This window comes from Homo sapiens, chromosome 4, assembly GCF_000001405.40.
Source record: "Homo sapiens chromosome 4, GRCh38.p14 Primary Assembly".
Taxonomy (NCBI): domain Eukaryota; kingdom Metazoa; phylum Chordata; class Mammalia; order Primates; family Hominidae; genus Homo; species Homo sapiens.
The window spans coordinates 112,737,106-112,758,703 of NC_000004.12; the positions used below are offsets into that span (position 1 = coordinate 112,737,106).

Consider the following 21,598-nt stretch of genomic DNA (forward strand, 5'->3'; position numbering starts at 1 on the left):
ACTATCAGTTTCATTGTCTATAAATTGGGGATAATATGTTTAGCATATTGCTATGGTGAGAATTTATGCATACAAAGTGCTGTGCACATAGTAAATAGTTCATATTCACAAACATTAGTTATTTTTCATAACTAAAAGAAAAATGCTAACACTCTATAATGCTTGATTTAATAACATATTAGACTATTGTATGTCCAGGAAATATGTAAGTTCTCTCTGTAAATCTGCTGCCTTTCATTGCAGCAAATCTTTGCATATACATGCACATAGAGCACATGGTTTGTATTTTATTTTTGTGAAATGTAAATATCCACCTATCCTCTATCTCAATTATCAGTTGCTGCATAACAACCATTCCAATGTTCAGGGCTTTAAAACAGTAGCTATCATTTATTTGCTCCCGATTCTGAGATTTGTGCAGGACTTGGCAGTTTGCTCCACATGGCATCAGCTGGAGCAGCTTGACTGGGGTTGGATGATCCACTTCCAAGGTGGCCTATTCACATGACTGGTACATTGGTGCTAGTTGGTGGAGTTTGATGGGAGAAGTGGTTCAGTTCTTGCTCAGCTGAGTTCCTCAGTTCTTGCTGCCAGCTGGGTTCTTAGTTCTCTTACATGTGGCCTCACCATATAGATGACTTGGGCTTCTTCCTGGCTTGGTAGTCGAAGGAGTTGGACTATGTATGTTAGGATTTTCTTCCATTTGTACAAAAGGAGGAAGCTCAAGGTTTCTTAAGACTTAGGCCTGGAACTGGCACAGGACAACTTTAGCTGTATTCTATTGGTTAAAATGTGTCAGATTCAAGAAGAGATGGCAGTAAAGGATGTAAATAGCAGGAGATTTGGTTCATCGGGGTACATCGATAGAACAAACTACCATACCATTCATCTAACATAAATATTTAGCAACCTTGATGTATAAGAGAATACTCATTTACTAATTCCACAATTATGTACTGAGGATCTGTCCTGTGCCCAGGTTTATAGTAGGCACTGTGGATACACAATTGAATAAGACATGAGGCCGGGTGCAGTGGCTAACACCTGTAATCCCAGCACTTTGGGAGGCCGAGGCGGGCAGATCACCTGAGGTCAGGAGTTCGAGACCAGCCTAGCCAACATGGCGAAGCCCCGTCTCTATTTAAAAAGTACAAAAATTAGCCAGGTGTGGTGGTGGGCACCTGCAATCCAAGCTACTCAGGAGACTGAGGCCAGAGAATCGCTTGAACCAGGGAGGCAGAGGTTGCAGTGAGCCAAGATTGTGCCACTGTACTCCAGCCTGGGCAACAAGAGTGAGAGTCTGTCTCAAAAAAAAAAAAAAAAAAAAAGACATGCAAGATCCTTGCCCAGGTGGAGTATACATCAGGTAATTAAGCAAGTGATTTCAGTAGTTCCTTACTTAACAGGTGCTGTGAGAGTAGTAAGGGCTGTATGCTGCAGGTAGCTAGCAGGAACCTTAACCTAGTCTGCAGGTTCAGGAGAGTTCTGAATTGTGAGTTAAAAACTACATTCTAGCTCTTCCTCTGGGCTGCCTACCGAGGTGGCAGCCATCTCCTCCTCAGCATCACGGCTGCCCTCAGACCCGTTGTGAAGCCCAAGATCATTAAAAAGAGAACCAAGAAGTTCATCCGGCACCAGTCAGACCCATATGTCAAAATGAAGCGTAACTGGTGGAAACCCAGAGGTATTGACAACAGGGTTCATAGAAGGTTCAAGGCCCAGATCTTGATGCCCAACATTGGTTATGGGAGCAACAACAACAAACAAACAAACAAACAAACAAAAAAACAAAAAACAAAGCACATGCTGCTAGTGGCTTCCGCAAGTTCCTGGTCCAGAACATCAAGGAGCTGGAAGTGCTGCTGATGTGCAACAAATCTTACTGTGCTGAGGTCGCTCACAAAAACCAAGAACCGCAAAGCCATCATGGAAAGTTCTGTCCAGCTGGCCATCAGAGTCACCAACCCCAATGCCAGGCTGTGCAGCAAAGAAAATGAATAGATAGCTCATATGCACGTTTTGTGTTTAAATAAAACCGTAAAAACTGCCAAGAACACAAAAACAAACAAAAAAACTCCTACATTCTAGAAGAGTCCATTGTAAGGAGAGAAGCAGAGTTAAAATAGGCAAAAAAGTCTGATTTGTCTGGATATTTAATGGTTTGATGCACTTAGAAGCACGCCACTGCGCCCGGCTGGAATGAATGCTTTTAAAAGATATTTCTAGGCCAGGCTCTGTGGCTCATGCCTGTAAGTAATCTCAGCACTTTGGGAGGCTGAGGCAGGTGGATCATGAGGTCAGGAGTCAAGACCAGCCTGGCCAACATGGTGAAACCTCGTCTCTACTAAAAATACAAAAATTAGCCCGGCGTGGTGGCTCGCACCTGTAATCCCAGCTACTTGGGAGACTGAGGCAGGAGTTTCACTTGAACCGGGGAGGCGGAGGTTGCAGTGAGCTGAGATTGCACTACTACACTGCAGCCTGGGTGACAGAGCAAGACTCCGTCTGGGAAACAAAAAGAGATCTCTGCCCACACATGTTATGCTGAATTACCCATTTCCTGATGTTCCCTTAGATGGGGGAGGGAGAAGCAATTTCCTCCTTGCTCCCCTCCTATCACTCTCTGATAAAACTGTGTTGTGCTCTTAGCTTTGTCAGTGTAGAGCTAACTTTTAATACTAAAAGAAATAAATATTTAAAGACCAAGACCAGGCTAGGCAACATGGCGAAAACCCATCTCTATTAAAAATACAAAAATTAGCCAGTCTGTAGTCCCAGCTACTTGGAGGCTGAGGTCATAGGATCTCTTGAGCCTGGGAGGTCAAGACTGCAGTGAACTGTGATCACACCACTGAACTCTAGCCTGGGCAACAGAGCAGAACCCCGTCTCAATAAATAAATAAATAAAATAGTAATAAAGTTAAAAATCTTTGTTGCAGGCGGGTTCTTCTAACCTATTTCCATTTCCAAATTCTCCACATCAACCTGGTCTTTCTAAATGTGGTTAGCTATCAGTATTTTAGTTAAAGTTCTGTTCTGATGAGGAAAAAAAAAAGAGGAAAAGCAGAGGAAAATGACCATTATCAAAGAGTGAAAAGTATTATTCTCTTTTTTATTAGCATTATTTATTTATTTTTATTTTTACTTTTTTAGAGACAAGGTCTTGCTCTGTCTCCCAAGCTGTAGCAGTGGTGTCATCATAGCTCATTGTAACCTCGAACTCCTGGGCTCAAGCAATCCTCCTACTTCAGCCTCCAGAGTACCTGGGACTACAGGTGCATGCCACCATGCCTGGCTAACTTAAAAAAATTTGGGGCGGCTGGGTGCGATGGCTCACACCTGTAATCTCAGCACTTTGGGAGGCCGAGGTGGGTGAATCATGAGGTCAGGAGTTCAAGACCAGCCTGGCCAACATGGTGAAACCCTGTCTCTACTAAAAATACAAAAAAGTAGCTGGGTGTGGTGGCACACGCCTGTAATCCCAGCTACTCAGGAGGCTGAGGCAGGAGAATTGCTTGAACCCAGGAGTTGGAACCCAGTGAGCCGAGATCTTGGCATTTCACGTCAGCCTGGGCAACAGAGCAAGACTCCATCTCAAAAAAGAAGAAAAAAAAAATTATTGTAGATGCCAGGCACAGTGGCTTACGTCCGTAATCCCAGCAGTTTGAGAGGCCAAAAGTTCGAGACCAGGCTGGCCAACACGGTGAAACCCCATCTCTACTAAAAAATACTAAATGAGCCGGGCGTGGTCGTGGGCACCCATAGTCCCTGCTACTCAGGAGGCTAAGGCAGAAGAATCACTTGAACCCGGGAGGCAGAGGTTGCAGTGAGCCGAGATTGCATCACTGCACTCCAGCCTGGGTGACAGGGTGAACTCTGTCTCAAAAAAATTTTTTTTTTTTTTTTAGGAACAGAGATCTCACTATGTTGGCCAGGCTGGTCTCTAACTCCTTGCCTAAAGTGATCCACCTGCTTTAGCCTCCCAAAGTGCTGGGATTACTGGTAGGAGCCACCATGCCTGGCAAAAGTATTATTCTCTTAATGGATATTATCACATATTACAACCATAGTTTTTCTAGCAAAAACTGTTTATCATGTGCTTCTATATGCAGAGATCCAGTTTTGCCTTCTTCTCCCAGGCAGAAATTCTCAGGAGAAAGAGATTAGGTCAACTCCCTTTGATTCACTGAGCTGACTATTTCCACTAGGCTTTTCTCTAACCAATAGGCTTCTTTCCAGCAAGCCCAAGCATCCCTTCAGTTGGCCCTCTTCAGAGAGCTCCCTTTTCGTTGCATAGCCATCCTGACAAAGCAAAGCCTGCTCTGTCCATGCTGCTTCTTAGGGCTGGACCTGGGCAATGTGGTCAGGATCGGTGGGCCCTCTTTAGCGATAGGGTGGCAGAGCAGTCCGTCTGTCATCATCATAGTCAGTGCTTTTATGCCTCTGTCCATACAGACGCCTAGTGTAAGCATTGCTCGTCAATTTTGTTTTGGGTATAACTAAAACTTTTTGTTTGTTTTTCTTTCCACTTGGATTTCATTATTCTTCATTTGAAATGACTGGTTTGTAAATCTTTAAAATTGGCTTTGGGTTCAGGGTAAGGTGTGGTGGCTCATGCTTGTAATAGCTACTGGGGTGGCTGAAGTGGGAAGATTGCTTGGGCTCAGGAGATAAAGACCAGCCTGGGCAACATAGTGATACGCCGTTTCTTAAAAACAAACAAACAAACAAACAAACAAGCACAATAAAATTGGCATTGGGTTCAAAACCCTTATCAAAGCATTCTTCTGATTTATTGATATAAACAATTATAATATAGTACTGTTTCAGTTACCAGATGTTGAGTACTTGGCCCCTTTATTTGAACAGGTTACTGTTTAGAGAAGAGTACTTAAATAAAACAGGGCTGGGAGTGGTGGCTTGCACATGTAATCCCAGTGCTTTGGGAGACTGAAGTGGGAGGACTGCTTGAGACCAGGAGTTCAAACCAGTCTGGGCAACGTTTGCAGCCAAATTTTAAAAAAAAATTAGCTGGGCAGGGTGGCATGTACCTTAAGTCCCAGCTACTTGGGAGGCTGAGGCAGGAGGATCTCTTGAGCTCAGGAGGTCAAGCAGTTCACTACTGCACTCCAGCCTGGGCGACAGAGCGAGACTCTGTCTCAGAACAAAATAAAATACTAAAATAAAATAAAAATAAAATATGATAACTGCTACACAGACTTGGGGAAGGCTTCACAGAGGTGAAATTCACCGTGTTGGCACAGTGTCTTCAAACTTTTCACTGAATTCTATGTGTGTGTGTGTGTGTGTGTGTGTGTATTAGGACGGCTATGGAGTTGGGTGAGTGGAGACACACCCTAGATAAGATTGGCTAGGGTAGGTTGTCAGAAGGGCCTTGTTTGCCTTGATAAGGAGGAGTTTGAGCATTATATTTTAGACAATGGTTATCCATAATAGATTTGCAAATAGAGGAATAATCAGATTTACTTTTGCTTCTTTTTAAAAGAAAGTAAAACTAAAACTGAAGAAAAGTCCCCTAAAATGAAATGCCAGATAATCCAAAATTCCATTATAATCATTTATAAACAGGTTTTAGGGGATTTCAGTCCTCATTCCACATCTTCTTTTTTTTTTTTTGAGACAGAGTCTTGCTCTGTTGCCAAGGCTGGAGTACAGTGGCATGATCTCGGCTCACTGCAACCTCTGCCTCCCGGGTTCAAGCAATTCTCCTGCCTCAGCCTCCTGAGTAGCTGGGATTACAGGCACCCGCCACCATGCCCAGCTAATTTTTGTATTTTTAGTAGAGATGGGGGTTTCACCATGTTGGTCAGGCTGGTCTCGACTGGCCTCTCATTCCACATCTTCTGAGATCCGTCAGGACTACCAAGTCAGGCCAAGGCCCAAATGTTGACTCTGATACTTGGCATGAAGAATATGGAATTTTAATCTTCTTCAGACTGTAAAAGAAAATCTTTTCCTATATTAGCTCAATACAGTGTGTAGTCAATGACAGAGTTATTAGTGAAATAGCTTCTTCTACAGGCTGACCATTTTAATGGTGTTTTATATAGCCTTTCCTTTTTGGGGACAGAAACATGAAAGTGCGGGCAGTTTACTTTGGCTGATACCTGATAATTTCATTATGGTAGAATCCTGAATAACTTGCCTTGTTCATTCTTTTAATTATTATTTACATATTTTCTTTCAGTTCTACAATATTGGTTTTTCACATTAAAAGAATGTTAAAATTCGAGACCATTATAAAAGACTATGATGTCTTTTATAGTTCTCTCCTCTAAAGATAACTTCCTTATATTATATTGCTTAAACTAACACATGTAATTAGGTTGGTGCAAAAGTAATCTCGGTCTTTCTCTCTTTCTCTCTCCTTCATTCCTTCCTTCCTTCCTTCCTTTCTTTCTTTCTGTCTCTCTCTCTCTTTTCTATCCTTTTTTTTTTTTTTTTTTTGAGACAGAGTTTCACTTTTACTGCCCTGGCACGATCTCGGCTCACTGCAACCTCTGCCTCCCAGGTTCAAGCAATTCTCCTGCCTCAGCCTCCCAAGTAGCTGGGATTACAGGTGTGCGCCACCACACCCAGCTAATTTTTTTGTATTTTTAGTAGAAACGGGGTTTCACCATATTAACCAGGCTGGTCTCGAACTCCTGACCTCAGGTGATCTGACTGCCTTGGCCTCCCAAAGTGCTGGGATTACAGGCGTGAGCCACCATGCCTGGCCTCTTTTATTTTCTTTTTTTTTCTCCACCCAGGCTGTACTGCAGTGGCGGATCCAGCTCACTACAACCTCTGCCTGCCGGGTTCATCCAATTCTCCTGCCTCAGCCTCCCGAGTAGCTGAGATTACAGGCATGTGCCACCATGCCTGGCTAATTTTTTTTGTATTTGTTTTTTTAGTAGAGATGGGGTTTCGCCATGTTGGCCAGGCTGGTCTCGAATTCTGCCCACCTCGGCCTCCCAAAGTGATGAGATTACAGGCATGAGCCACCAGGCCCGGACATTTTGGCTATTACTTTCAATGGCAAAAACTGTGATTACTTTTGCACCAACCTAATAGAGGTATATTATTCTGTAGCTTTTGTTTCTGATTGAACATCTCAGATAAAATAGCTCACATAGATAAACTTAATGGATACAGAATATTAGACTTTATGAATAATTCTACTCTGGGAGATTTCCATTGTTTCCAGTTTTTCACGTTACCTATAATATTTCCTTAGGATATGATTTTTTTTTTTTTTTGAGATGGGGTCTTGCTCTGTTGCCCAGGTTGGAGTGCAGTGGCACGACCTCGGCTCACTGTAGCCCCCGCCTCCCGGGTTCAAGCAATTCTCCCACCTCAGCCTCCCGAGTAGCTGGGATTACTGGGGCATGCCACACCACACCAGGCTAATTTTTTGCATTTTTAGTAAAGATGGGGTTTTACGATGTTGGCCAGGCTGGTCTCAAACTCCTAACCTCAGGTGATCCACCCACCTCAGCCTCTCAAAGTGCTGGGATTACAGGCATGAGCCACCACGCCTGGCCAGGATAAGATTTTAAAAGTAGAATTTCTGGATCATACTAGAGCATCTTGAATTTTAGTATATGTTGTCAAATTATCCTCTACAGTTTTGGCACAAATTTGTATTCCCACTTACAGAATATGAGAGTACCTGCTTTAGCAAATACTTGCCAACATTAAGCTTTTTCTCTCATTTTTGTCTTTCCCAATATAATCGTCAAAAAGCATTTCAGTGGATTAACATGTATGTCTTCATCTGTCATCAGGTTAAACATATTTTTGTAAGTTTATTAACCATTTATATTTCCTTATTTGTGAATGTCTGTTGACAGTCTTTGTCATTTTCTATTGGTGTTTTGCTCTATTGATTTGTAAGCCCTTTTTCTCTATATGTCATATGTGATCAAGTAGTTTTTTCTCAGTTGGACTGTAATCCTTTGAATTCATTTATCATATGTTTTCTTTATTATTTGTAAGCAGACAGTCAATTTATCAGCCTTTTTCTTCCTTCATTGGTTACTTCTTCCTTGACTAATTCTAAAAGAAAAGTATTACATACATTCACCTATTATATAGGTCACAACACAAACACATCACATAAACACATCAAACATAAATTCCGACATAAAAACTATCATTCTTTTTTAAATCTATTTTTATTTTCTTACTTTTTAATTTTTGTGGGCACATAGTAGGTGTATATATTTATGGAGTATATGAGATACTTTGATATAGGCATGCAATGCGTAATAATCACATCAAGGTAAATGGGGTATCCATCACCTCCAGCATTTATCCTTCTTTTATGTTACAAACAATCCAATTATGCTCTTTTAGTTATTTTTAAATGTACAATAATTTATTGTTGTCTGTAGTCACCCTGTTGTGCTATCAAGTACTAGATCTTTTTTTTTTTTTTTTTTTGAGACAGAGTTTCGCTCCTGTTGCCCAGGCTGGAGTGCAATGGCACGACCTCGGCTCACTGCAACCTCCACCTCCTAGGTTCAAGTGATTCTCCTGCCTCAGCCTCCCAAGTAGCTGGGACTATAGGCACCCACCACCATGCCTGGCTAATTTTTGATTTTTAGTAGAGATGGGGTTTCTCCATCTTGGTCAGGCTGGTCTCGAACTCCTGACCTCCGGTGATCCACCTGCCCTGGCCTCCCAAAGTGTTGGGATTACAGGTGTGAGCCACTGCGCCCGGCCCCAATTACTAGATCTTATTCATTCTATCTAAATATATGTTTGTATCCATTAACCATCCCCACATCTCTCCCCCTTCCCCACTGGCTGCCCTTCCTGGTCTCTGATAACCATTTTTCATTCTATTTCCATGAATTCAGTTGTTTTAAATCATTCTTGTTGTTGTTATTGTTGTTTTTTTTCAATAATCCTGTCCTCTCACTCACCTACCATCCCCTTCTATCAGCCCTTTAAAGGAATCCACTATATTTTCAATTCTATAGTGACTCTTAAAGAGATTTTGGAAGTTCTTAGACAGGATTACATATATTTAGGATGACAATTAAATTAGCAAGTATGGCCAGCTTTTATTGATCATCAAAATGTACAAGAACTAAAACAATTGAAAAATTATATTAATCTTGAGTAATTTTCTAAATATATTTAAAGAGAACACTATATATGTTTAATTTCTATTAAAACTGCTTTCTTAGTGCTTACATATGATACAAACAAAAAAAAGTTCAAATGTTGTTTGGATTGTGGTGGTAGAGTTATCTTGGGGGTTAGAAAATCCCTAACCCAGGTACTCAGGAGGCTCAGGCAGGAGAATCGCTTGAACACGGGAGGTGGAGGTTGCAGTGAGCTGAGATTGCACTACTGCACTCCAGCTTGGGCAACCGAGTGAGATGCTGTCTCAAAAAAAAAAAAAAAAGAGAAAAAGAAAATGCCTTTTTGAATACAGACCTCCTCCTAACATGCATAATTTTCTGGATAAAGGAAGCTGTCATTATTTTCTTGAAGTGATACAGATGATGTGCTCCTTAGCTTATCACATGTTTTAGTGTTAAATAAAATTTGGTTTCATCTGCAGATTTGTAAAATAGAAACAAACAGTTAACACATTAATCTAAAGGAATGTCTTCATTTTAATAACTTCAAAATAGTTTTGAATTATGTATTAACTTACATTTTAATCATGCATAATAGGAAAGCTGGATGAAGCTTATTAAAATTATTCCTTGACATATTCAATGATAAAAAAGACATGCTTTTGTGATTTTTCTGCAAATACTTCAAATATATTCAAATATCCAATTTTAAGCAGTAGAACTAAGGCTGTATAACTGTGGTCACGCATTTACGAAATCCCTAAAACAAATTTCAATTTCTATTATATTATTTCAGGAATTAAGCACAGTTAACAATGGTATCAGACTCACAGCAGATGACATTACCTTTGCAGTTTTCTAAAAAAGAAGGGAGCAACACCAACCTTATCTCTTAAGGTTGAGGAATTCCTAACAGCATAAGTCATAATGAAGAGTATCAACATCCTGAGGTGACACATTCTTTAGCCAAAACTCTGTGGGGATTTTCAAAGTGGGAAATTCTTTTGTGTCTTTGAAACCAGGCAAATCAAAGGAATTTATTTTAATCTGGCTTAAGTCCAGGCCAGTGAGTGGCACTAATAAGGAACAAACACATTAGCACCAAAAGGAAATGATCATTAGAAAAGAAATCTTAATCTGTCCATAGCCCACAGGCTGAGATCTCCAAAGCCTTGTCACGGGACTTTAAATGTAAAAATCACATTCAAATGTGTAAAATGATAATGTACAAGAATATTTACATGTGAAAATTGGTGGTTTATGTGCATAATTGGTTAGCTGAATACCTTTTTGTTGGGAGTAGGGGGTGGAGTTCTCCTAGGAACTCTTGAGCTTGTGAAAGAAAAAGGAAGAGAAAAGTTTTATGTGAAAGCACTACATTTAAGAGTGGATTCATTTTTCAAATTGAAAGTTAAATATTAAGTTCTGAGAATTAAGTAAATTGGTTCTGATCTGATTTATTTTAATGGTGGTTCTCTAATTTCTGGTTTTACTTTCTGGAACATCAAGAATATTGAGAATTAAAAGAAGGTGGGAAAGGGTGACAGGACAGGAGTAACAGAAGACATTAAATACCAGACTTTAACCCTCCAGTCTCCTAGGGTTGGAAAGGAGAAATATTGTGAGATAAAAGTGAGAAGTTGGTAAGGATTTCTGAATATGTGATAACTGCTGGGGTTATCAAAATAGTCCTAGCAAAATGGGTTTATAGTTTTCTATTCTAGAGAGTTCCTTGAAATGTCATCAGATGTATATTTACTAATTTTTTCCATTGATAAAAGGATTTGGCTATCATCCTAGATTATAATGTGTTCTACATTAGCTATTGAGATGTAGTAAAAGCTGTTTTCATACATTTTTTGTAAGGCATCCTCCAAGTGATTCAATATCTGCAGTGCATCAGGAAAATGTGGTGATTAATATTGTATGATGTAGAACACGAAGAGCTCTTCTTTCAAGGAGCTACCTTAGGCAAAAAACAAAGTTTTAAAATCTGGAACTGAACACCACCAAATGTGCCTATACAGACAAACATGCTTACCATGTAATAATGGTTATACAGCAAATTAAAGTGGTTATTGTGGGTTTTATAGAGTAAATATGGCACAAATGAAAAATCAAATTCAGGGTCCTCAAGCAGTGGTAGATGTAATTCAGTCTTGTTAGACTTGAGCCTGCTATGGAAATGTAGAGAACATCCTCATAACAAGCCTAATGGAACATATTTCTTTTAGGAATGTGAGTGACCTGGTGTCCTTAATTCCTGGAGAGGCATAGCTTAATGACATATTATTTTCACCTTTACCTGATTTTTTTCTAGCATGCTTTATGTTTATCTTATGTTAACCTATAAGGCTATGCTAATTTTATGCACAGACAGCACATTCCTGTTTGACCTTATTTCCCTTCCTCTAACTCCTGCAGCTGTTGGGCCTAAAGTTCCTCACAGTGTAATTTTGTGCTGGATGTGGTCTGAGGATGGATGAATCCAAGATACTCAAATACATATTTTATGGTCCCCTGAGGCAAGGCAATTGAAAACCACTTGATTGGAGGACATTTTGAAACACACCCATGCTTTTAAAATGCTTTGAATTATTGGAAACAAGAATTGCAGATATTCAACTTAGTAAACAGCAGCTGGAGGTAGAGATTGTCCTTTAAAATAAAGTCAGTGGACGGACCTATGATTTTATTTATTTATTTATTTATTTTGTAGATGGAGTTTCGCTCTTGTCACCCAGGCTGGAGTGCAATGGCGCAATCTCAGCTAACTGCAACCTCTGCCTTCCGGGTTCAAGCCATTCTCGGGCCTCGGCCTCCTGAGTAGCTGGGATTACAGGCGTGTGCCACCACGCCCATCTGATTTTTTTATTATTAGTAGAGACAGGGTTTGGCCATGTTAGCCAGGCTAGTCTCGAACTGCTGACCTCAGGTGATCCACCCGCCTCGGCCTCCCACAGTGCTGGGATTACAGGCGTGAGCCACCGCGCCTGGCCTGACCTATGATTTTAAGTCATCTTTGATCAAGCATGCATCCTTCTATGCTACCTGTACATTGAGCAGTTATCACCATTTGTAATGTTACCAGTGATATCATTGGTAAAGTATGGGAGGAAAAGCCTGAGTCTCAAGAGTAACGTGCATGTAGGGGTTTCAAGTCTCTGGTGGGAAAAAATGTTTTGAATGACTTTGTACTCAGGCATAAAAATAGATCCATAGATATTAATGGCAATCACTTGTTTATGGACCCAACTTTGGAATTTTGGGAGGAAAGTTATATTCAGAAAATGTATGGAAACTCATGAGCTCTTTACTCCAGACTTTTTCAGAGTCAGCAGTCACCAACCCTGGAGGGCTTATGAGAGAGATGGTCTCCTACTGAATAGTTACTGGATTGAGAACAGTCACAGCAGTGTTTCCTAGGATTGTACCATGATGTTTGTGGAAAGTGATAGATAATAATGAAGCAAATTTTAGACACTGAGATTTATCATAGAACATAACAGTTGCTAAATTTTGGGATTATCTAGCTGTAGGTAACTTTTTGTTCTGTTTTGTTTTGAGACAGAGTCTTGCTCTGTCACCAGGCTGGAGTGCAGTGGCGCGATCTTGGCTCACTGCAACCTCCGCCTCCCAGGTTCAAGCCACTCTCCTGCCTCAGGCTCCCGAGTAGCTGAGATTACAGGCGCCCACCACCACGCCCAGCTAATTTTTGTATTTTTAGTAGAGATGGGGTTTCACCGTGTTGGCCAGGCTGGTCTCGATCTCCTGACCCCGTGATCCGCCCTCCTTGGCCTCCCAAAGTGCTGGGATTACAGGCGTGAGCCACCGCTCCTGGCATCTAGCTGTAGGTAACTTCTAACACATTTTCTTTCATACTTTTTTTTCTTCTGAGACAGGGTCTCTGCTGTCAGGCTGGCATGCATTGGTGCAATCACAGCTCACTGGCTGGGTGCAGTGGCTCACAACCGTAATCCCAGCACTTTGGGAGGCTGAGATTGGCAGGTTGCCTGAGCTCAGGAATTTGAGACCAGCCTGGGCAACATGAGGAAACCCCATATTCACGAGAATCGCTTGAATCTGGGAGGTGGAGGTTGCAGTGAGCCAAGATCGCCCCGCTGCACTCCAGCCTGGGCGACAGAGTGAGAGCCTGTCTCAAAAAAAGAAAAAAAGATTGTAATATTGTATTTTTACATACCTTTTCTATGTTTAAATATGTTTAGATACACAAATACTTACCATTGTGTTACACTTGCCTACAATATTCAGTATATATATATATAGTAACATGCTGTACAGTTTGTAGCCTAGGAGCAATAGACTATACTGTTATGGGAAAGGGGTCCTGATCCAGACCCAAGAGAGGGTTCTTGTATCTTGTGCAAGAAAGAATGAGAGGCGAGTCCCTTGAGTAACGTGAAAGCAAGTTTATTAAGAAAGTAAAGGAATAAGGGAATGGCTACTCTATAGGCAGAGCAGCCCCAAGGGCTGCTGGGTTGCCTATTTTTATGGTTATTTCTTTCCTTTTTTCTTTTTTTTTTTGAGACACAGTCTTACTCTGTCATCCAGGCTGGAGTGCAGTGGTGCAGTCTTGGCTCACTGCAACCTCCACCACCTGGGTTCAAGCAGTTCTCCTGCCTCAGCTTCCCGAGTAGCTGGGATCACAGGCACGGGCCACCATGCCCAGCTAATTTTTGTATTTTTAGTAAAGATGGGTCTCACTATGTCGGTCAGGCTGGCCTCGAACTCCTGACCTCAGGTGATCCACCTGCCTCTGCCTTTCAAAGTGCTAGGATTACAGGCGTGTGCCACCATGCTCGGCCTAGAAGATTTAACAAGGTACAGAAACGGAACAAAGAAGGAAGCAGCCACCTCTCTGGTAGCTATTTAATGCATCATCATAACCCAGTTTTCCTGCTTCTCTATCCCTAAATTCTTATGCTACATGGTATTGTCTCCAGTCCCCAAAACCAACCCCAACCTCCCCCTCCAAGGAAATGTGGCAGTGTAAAAGGTGACCAGGCTTGCAATGTGAAGGAAAACTGCTAGCATTTACAATGCCATATACCAGCAGCAAGCGACCCGTGAAAGAGAAGAAACACTCGGCCCTGAATTTTTAAAATATAGTAGCACAGTTAACAGCACTGGAAATCAGAAAGCTGCAGTCCAGTCCTGGCTCAGCCATTAACTAGCTAAAGGACTAGGCAAATATGTAAATCCATGAGGTTAGACTAAAAGGCGACTTAAGGCACTGCCCGTTTGGTGATTCTAGAACTTTTCATAACAGACTTCACTAAGTTCAAAGAAAGAAGATATCATTGTGGGCAGGAAATGTCAGGGAAAACTGTGTGGAGGAGCTGTGGATTGGATTAGGCCCTAAAGGATGAGAAGGATTAAGTAGCAGGGGGGAAGGGATGGAATTGGAGGGGGAAGGGGGAAGCATAAGGAAACAGCTTTAACAAAAATGTAGGAACAGGAATGCACCCAGAGATATGCTAAGGTGTAGAGGGAGTTCCCACCAGATGGCAGAGATCTTATCTCTAAGGTAGGAAGTGAGATCCAGCTGCATAAAGAATCCCAAAGGAGGTGTTAAGGACTTAAGAAGTGGGGGAAAATTTTGGACCATTTCTTATAGGGGATGTGGAGGATGTGCTGGAGTCCCAACAAGGGATGTTGCAGCACAGCTGGGAAACCCTTTTAGTGTAGCCTGTGAAATGTTAGTGAGTTGATTTTACTGATTTTACTATCAGTACAAAGAATAGGGAGAAAATAGCTTGGAGCATGCTCTGGTGTTTTTGCTAGCATTCCCAGGACTTATTAACCAAGGGTAAATGACCACTGAAGCCAGTGGTTCTTATACACATGGCACAACCTGATCCCCACTCCTAGAAATTAGAGGTTTTTTATGAGAAATTCAAGGGAGCAGGGAGTCCATATTCTCCACTGGACACTGTGTTAGGAGGCTCACTCTGTGTTTCTTGTCCTCACTGGATTACTAACATCACTCTCTGCTCTTTACCATTTGCTTCAACTCCATAAACCCTCCTTGAGAGATGTGAGTAGATGCCTGTGCAGGGCAAGCACTCCACTCACCCAGTCGCTGGGCTGGGGCTGAGGAGGAGGCAAGAGAGCAACTCTGGGGCATTAAATGTTAAGCAGCAAGTGCCTCTGCTTTCTAGTTCAGTCCTTTTTCTCCCCCTCCTCAGCTTTTGTTTTTTGTCTTTTAGAGACAGGGTCTCTCTCTGTCTCACTGGCTGGAGTGCAACAGCAGAATCCTGGCTCACTGCAGCCTTGATTTAGTAACTGTGTCTACAGACACATGCCACCAGGCCTGGCTAATTTTTTTTTTTTTTAACTTTTTTTGAGACAGGGATCTGTTGATGTTGCCCAGGCTGGGCTCAAGCAGTCTTCCCACTTCTGTCTCCTAAAGTGCTGGGATCACAGGCCTGAACCACTGCACCTTGCTCTTCTCTCCCCACCTCTTTGTTTGTTTGAGAGTCTCTCTCAGTTGCCCCAGCTGCAGTGCAGTGGAAATCGCTGCAGCCTCCAACTTGTAGGTTCAAATGATCCTCCTGTCTCAGCCTCCTGAGTAGCTAAGACTACAGGCATGCGCCACGATACCTGGCTAATTTTTGTATTTTTTGTAGAGAAGAGATTTCATCATGCTGCCCAGGCTGGTCTTGAACTCCTGGGCTCAGGTGATCCTCCCACCTCAGGCTCCCAAAGTGCTGGGACTACAAGTGTGAACCTTTGCGCTGGCCTCCCACTCTTCTAAGCAACACCTCCTGGCTATGCTGTCTCTATGACCACTGCCCTTCATTTCACGAATATGCTGTTCAGGAACCTGACAATAAGTCTGGTCTCTCCCTCTTCCCAGGTCTCCATCCCATATTATTTTCCTCGAGCCTCAGGCCATTTCCTTCAGAGAGCACATTGGTGCCTCCCAAAGCCTCACCAAGGTGCTTCTCCCGGACTCGAAGAATGAGTCTTGCTTCATCTGCTGATATGGAATAAATGTGCAGGCAAGTGGTAGAAAGAGTTTTGGAGAAATCTCCAAACCCATAGATATTACAGTTGAGCGGACTAGATAGCTGGATACATATACAGCCATGTGTCACTTAACAATAGGAATACATTCTGAGAAATGCATCATTAGCAATTTCATAATTGTGCAGACACCATAGAGTGTACCTACACAAACCTAGATGTTAGAGCCTACTACACACCCAGGCTACATGGTATTGTCAGAGGCATTTGAACCAGAGCAACTCCATCTTGAACAGGCGCTGCATAAAATGAAGCTGAGACCTGCTGGGCTGCATTCCCAGAAGGTTAAGGCATTCCTAGTCACAGGGTGAAATAGGATATTGGCACAAGATACGGGTCATAAAGACCGTGCTGATAAAGCAGGTTGTAGTGAAGAAGCCAGCCAAAACCCACCAAAACCAAGATGGCCATGAGAGTGACCTCTGGTTACCCTCACTGCTACACTCCCACCAGGACCATGACAGTTTACAAATGCCATGGCAATGTCAGGAAGTTACCCTATGTTGTCTAAAAGGGGAGGCATGAATAACTCACCCCTTGTTTAGCATATAATCAGGAAATAACTGGCTGGGCATTGTGGCTCATCCCTGTAATCCCAGCACTTTGGGAGGCCAAGGAGGGTGGATCACTTGAGGTCAGGAGTTTGAGACCAGCCTGGCCAACATGGTGAAACCCTGTCTCTACTACAAATACAAAAATTAGCCAGGCGTGGTGGCACATGCCTGTAATCCCAGCTACTTGGGAGGCTGAGGCACGATAATCACTTGAACCCGGGAGGCAGAGGTTGCAGTGAGCCGAGATTACGCCACTGCACTCCAGCCTGGGCCACAGAGTGAGACTCTGTCTCAAAAAAAAAAAAAGTATATATATATATATATATATATATATATATATATATAAAATTGCATGGGGATATATAAAACAGCTTTCCAGTTGTTCACAGGTTCTCTCTTCCACTAGACTGTGAACAGCTTGAGGACAGGACAATTACTGTGGCATGTCCTCTGCCTGGCATAGTAATTAGTCCCTAGTTAACGTTGGTTCACCTGCACTGAAGCCAAAGCCCCTTTCTGGGCCCCGGTTTCCTTTTGCCATAAAATAAAATATTTGCACCGGATGATTTCTAACATCCTTTCCAGTTCTAACATCCTATGGTTGATCTGAAGTTTCTTATAAATCAAAAGCAGAGGTAGCAAACTGTTAGCTTGTGAGCTGAGTTGGGTCCTCGTTGTTTTTGTTGTTTGTATTGTTATGAGTTTTTTTTTTTGGGGGGGCGTGTATTATGTTAAAAACTTTTAATGAGTTCCAGGGGCTAAAAGTCTTCATATTAAAGTACAGATTTTTAGCTTATCTCCAAAAAACAGGGCCCACTGAGCCTGCTTTCCCTCAGGCAGCCATTGGCTAGAGCACTCTCATGTGGCTGCCACCTGCAAACTCAATTTAAGGTCCCTGTTCCCCCATCTCCAGGCCACAGTATATATTAAGTTTATAATCCCTGCTCTAAAGTTGCCCAAGAAAACTTACTAGAAAGTGAGGCAGTAGAAGGGAGAGTGAGGGGTTCATGTAAAGACAAGAGTAGAGATTTGAGGAGATGAAATATTGGAAGAACACATCTAACCTAGTAACGGTGGTCACCCCTAGAAATAGAGACACTGGAGGAGGGAGAAAGATGAAGATTTTTTTACTTTTTTTACCTCAAACTCTTATATCCTAATAATCTACCAGTTGGGAAAATCCCAGATGAAGACTTGAAGGCATATCATCTTAGAAGTAGCTAATATTTATCTTGCCAGGGTTTAAAGTCTGATAGTGGACCACTGTATATGCCTTGTGGCAAGAATGACTTCCTGCCCTGCTTCCGCACCTCAATCCTGCCCCCCTCCAATCCCCTGGGCCCCATCATTAATTTATTAAAGAAACTGGATTGTCCTGTGTCAAGTTTCACATTCTGGATATGTCTCATTGCTTCCTTGTGTTGTTTAACTTGTTTCACTGTCCTGCCACACACGTTTTTAAAGACTGAATTATGACCTTTCCAATGAATTAGTTAACTGGTAAGGGCTTCATGGAACTATTGTTAGTTGGCTCTGTATTGTCTCACATGTCCATGTGAAGAGACCACCAAACAGGCTTTGTGTGAGCAACAAGGCTGTTTATTTCACCTGGGTGCAGGCAGGCTGAGTCCGAAAAAGGAGTCAGCAAAGGGTGGTGGGATTATCATTAGTTCTTACAGGTTTTGGGATAGGCGGTAGAGTTTGGAGTAACGTTTTGCGGGCAGGGGTGGATCTCACAAAGTACATTCTCAAGGGTGGGGAGAATTATAAAGAAACTTCTTAAGGGTGGGGGAGATTACAAAGTACATTTATCAGGGTGGGGCAGAAACAAATTACAATGGTGGAATGTCATCAGTTAAGGCTATTTTCACTTCTTTTGTGGATCTTCAGTTGCTTCAGGCCATCTGGATGTATACGTGCAGGTCACTGGGGATATGATGGCTTAGCTTGGGCTCAGAGGCCTGACATGTATCATGCCAATAATAATATAAATGTTTTCTTTTTTTTTTTCCTTAAGCAAGTCAAGTGAAGCAGTGGGAGTGGAGAAGGAACAAAGAAATCTGTAACTGGTTATAATCAATTTGTCATAAATACCACTGCACTTGGACTACCCTTATTATTATTATTATTATTATTATTAAGACACAGTCATTGGCCGGGCGCAGTGGCTCACACCTGTAATCCCAGCACTTTGGGAGGCTGAGGTGGGCAGATCACGAGGTCAGGAGATTGAGACCGTCCTGGCTAACACGGTGAAACCCCATCTCTACTAAAAATACAAAAAATTAGCCGGGTGTGGTGGCGGGTGCCTGTAGTCCCAGCTACTGGGGAGCTGAGGCAGGAGAATGGTGTGAACCCGGGAGGCGGAGTTTGCAGTGAGCCGAGATCACACCACTGCACTTCAGCCTGGGTGACAGAGTGAGACTCTGTCTCAAAAAAAAAAAAAGACAGAGTCTCACTCTGCTGTCCAGAGCACTTGGCTCTCTCAGGTTGAGCATTATAGGATACAAAATCTAGCTGGGGTTTATGATTTCACCAGTTCAGTATTGTTGGTTCGGAAATAATTTGGTTATCAATTCACGTAGAACTAACTAATCAGGCTTTGGGAGAATAGATTCTCTATAATTTATAAGATACTGCTTTATAACCCAAAATGGCAATCAATTTATTAGTGGTGGGATTGTGTCTTTCCAATGTCTAGAATAGTAATGTTTATCTGGTATCCAAGTACTTGCTAAAGCAAATTAATAATCCACATGTTACTTGGGAGAATTGGTTATGTACATAGGGAGTTATCTGTGATGGAAGCTGAGGAACTATGAAAGCTTTATGATTATGAACACTCGAGTAAGAGATTTTTTGAGCTCGGCTGGAAAAATATTGAAAAATTAGATCTTGTGGCTCATGCGTGTGATCCCAACACTTTGGGAGGCCAAGGCGGGTGGATCCCCTGAGGTCAGGAGTTCGAGACCAGCCTGGCCAACATAGTACAACCCCATCTCTACTAAAAATACAAAAATTAGCCCTACATGGTGGTGGGCATCTGTAATCCCAGCTACTCAGGAGGCTGAGGCAAGAGAATCGCTTGAACCCGGGAGGCAGAGGTTGCAGTGAGTTGAGATTGCGGCATTGCAATCCAGCCTGGATGACAGAACGAGACTCCATCTCAAAAGAAAAAGGAAAGTTAGATCTTAGGAAATTTTCCTAGAACTCATGAGTGCCATCACTTAAAAAAAATTGTTCTTACATCACCCTGTAATTCCCAAATTATATCATTTCTCTCAATGACAGCAGTGACTTTTCTTTTCTTTTTTTTTTTTTTTTTGATACGGAGTTTTGCTCTTGTCACCCAGGCTGGAGTGCAATGGCGCAATCTCGGCTCACTGCAACCTCCGCTTCCCGGGTTTGAGTGAGTCTCCTGCCTCTGCCTCTCGAGTAGCTGGGATTACAGACGCCCGCCACCAAGCCCGGCTAATTTTCTTTTTTTGTATTTTTAGTAGAGACGGGGTTTCACCATGTTGGCCAGGCTGGTCTCGAACTCCTGAACTCAGGTGATCCACCCGCCTCCCAAAGTGTTGGGATTACAGGCGTGAGCCACTGTGTCCGGCTGACAGCAGTGACTTTTCTCATCAGTAACTGTCAAACAGTATTAACAAAAGTCTACATTGATGAATCACCACGTGCTAGGCACATTTGCAGGTATTTTACACACATTAATTTATTTGATCTCATAAGAATCCTGTGAGGTGAGAGCTAATATAATCTCCTGTTTTATAGATGAGGAATTAGAAGCATAGAGAATTAAAGTAGTTAACTTTTGGACAGTTTATCATTTATTTAATAGGTAATCCATGGTTTATGGATTATGAGTTCTTGTAAATTGAAATCATGAAGCTTTTGACTCATGAATATCTTATACTTCTCTTCACTTTGCTGGATTTTAGGGTGAATCTTTTGTGTTTGTAGTCATATCATTATAAAACAGGAATAAAGAAAGGCTGTGGATTGAGAAGCGCTATACGTAAAGGAGAAAAATGTAAAAGCCTTCTTAATTTTGGGTTGTAATCCTTCTAAAGATGGATTTTTTTTTTTTTGAGACGGAGTCTCGCTCGTTTCTCAGGCTGGCGTGCAATGGCGCCGTCCTGGCCCACTGCAACGGCGCCGTCCTGGCTCACTGCAACCTCCACTTCTCGGGTTCAAGCGATTCTCCTGCCTCAGCCTTCCCAGTAGATGGGATTACAGGCATGTGCCATCACACCCGGCTAATTTTGTATTTTTTTTTTTTAATAGAGCCAGGGTTTTTCCATGTTGGTCACTCAGGTCCCGACCTCAGGTGATCCGCCCGCCTCGGCCTCCGAGTGCTGGGATTACAAGCATGAGCCACCGCGTCCGGCCAAGATGGATTTTTTTTTTAGGTGTATTTTTCTGAGTCACATACACATTCTAACATTAAATTAGAAAAATGGAATTATTTTTCCGATTTATAGTCAATTGTAAAATTTATTCATTTAATTTTTATTAAGTACTTCATAATACGCTGCATAATCTTTCAGCAGGAGTAGATGAGCATAGCTATTCTCTTATCAATCAGGAAATGCTGTCTATTTTTATTTATTTATTTTTTGAGATAGAGTCTCACTCTGTCGCCCAGGCTGGAGTGCAGCGGCTCAATTTCGGCTCACTGCAACCTCCGCCTCCCAGGTTCAAGCGATTCTCCTGCCTCAGCCTCCTGAGTAGTTGGGATTACAGGCGAGCAGGCGCCACCAGGCCCGGCTAATTTTTGTATTTTTAGTAGAGACGGGGTTTCACTGTGTTGGCCAGCCTGGTCTTGAACTTCTGACCTCACGTGATCTGCCCACCTCAGCCTCCCAAGCTGTTGGGATTACAGGTGTGAGCCAC

At 42.3% G+C, this 21,598-nt stretch overlaps 1 protein-coding gene and 1 pseudogene across 4 annotated transcripts in view, besides 4 other annotated features; both read left to right on the top strand.

Moving 5' to 3' along the window:
• Nucleotides 1-21,598, top strand: part of ANK2 (ankyrin 2) — a 678,115-nt gene that overhangs the window by 31,484 nt on the left and 625,033 nt on the right. The gene's annotated exons all lie outside the window — the stretch shown is intronic.
• Nucleotides 1,030-1,971: an enhancer, noted in NCBI's record as "H3K27ac hESC enhancer chr4:113659291-113660232 (GRCh37/hg19 assembly coordinates)". NCBI's record gives its function as "activates a minimal SCP1, AML or CMV promoter by ChIP-STARR-seq in primed H9 embryonic stem cells {active_cell/tissue: H9 hESC(primed)}" and the evidence as "EXISTENCE:reporter gene assay evidence [ECO:0000049][PMID:30033119]".
• Nucleotides 1,510-2,050, top strand: RPL32P13 (ribosomal protein L32 pseudogene 13; annotated as a pseudogene).
• Nucleotides 1,972-2,913: an enhancer, noted in NCBI's record as "H3K27ac hESC enhancer chr4:113660233-113661174 (GRCh37/hg19 assembly coordinates)". NCBI's record gives its function as "activates a minimal SCP1, AML or CMV promoter by ChIP-STARR-seq in primed H9 embryonic stem cells {active_cell/tissue: H9 hESC(primed)}" and the evidence as "EXISTENCE:reporter gene assay evidence [ECO:0000049][PMID:30033119]".
• Nucleotides 13,526-14,226: an enhancer, noted in NCBI's record as "H3K27ac-H3K4me1 hESC enhancer chr4:113671787-113672487 (GRCh37/hg19 assembly coordinates)". NCBI's record gives its function as "activates a minimal SCP1, AML or CMV promoter by ChIP-STARR-seq in naive H9 embryonic stem cells {active_cell/tissue: H9 hESC(naive)}" and the evidence as "EXISTENCE:reporter gene assay evidence [ECO:0000049][PMID:30033119]".
• Nucleotides 20,055-20,868: an enhancer, noted in NCBI's record as "H3K27ac-H3K4me1 hESC enhancer chr4:113678316-113679129 (GRCh37/hg19 assembly coordinates)". NCBI's record gives its function as "activates a minimal SCP1, AML or CMV promoter by ChIP-STARR-seq in primed H9 embryonic stem cells {active_cell/tissue: H9 hESC(primed)}" and the evidence as "EXISTENCE:reporter gene assay evidence [ECO:0000049][PMID:30033119]".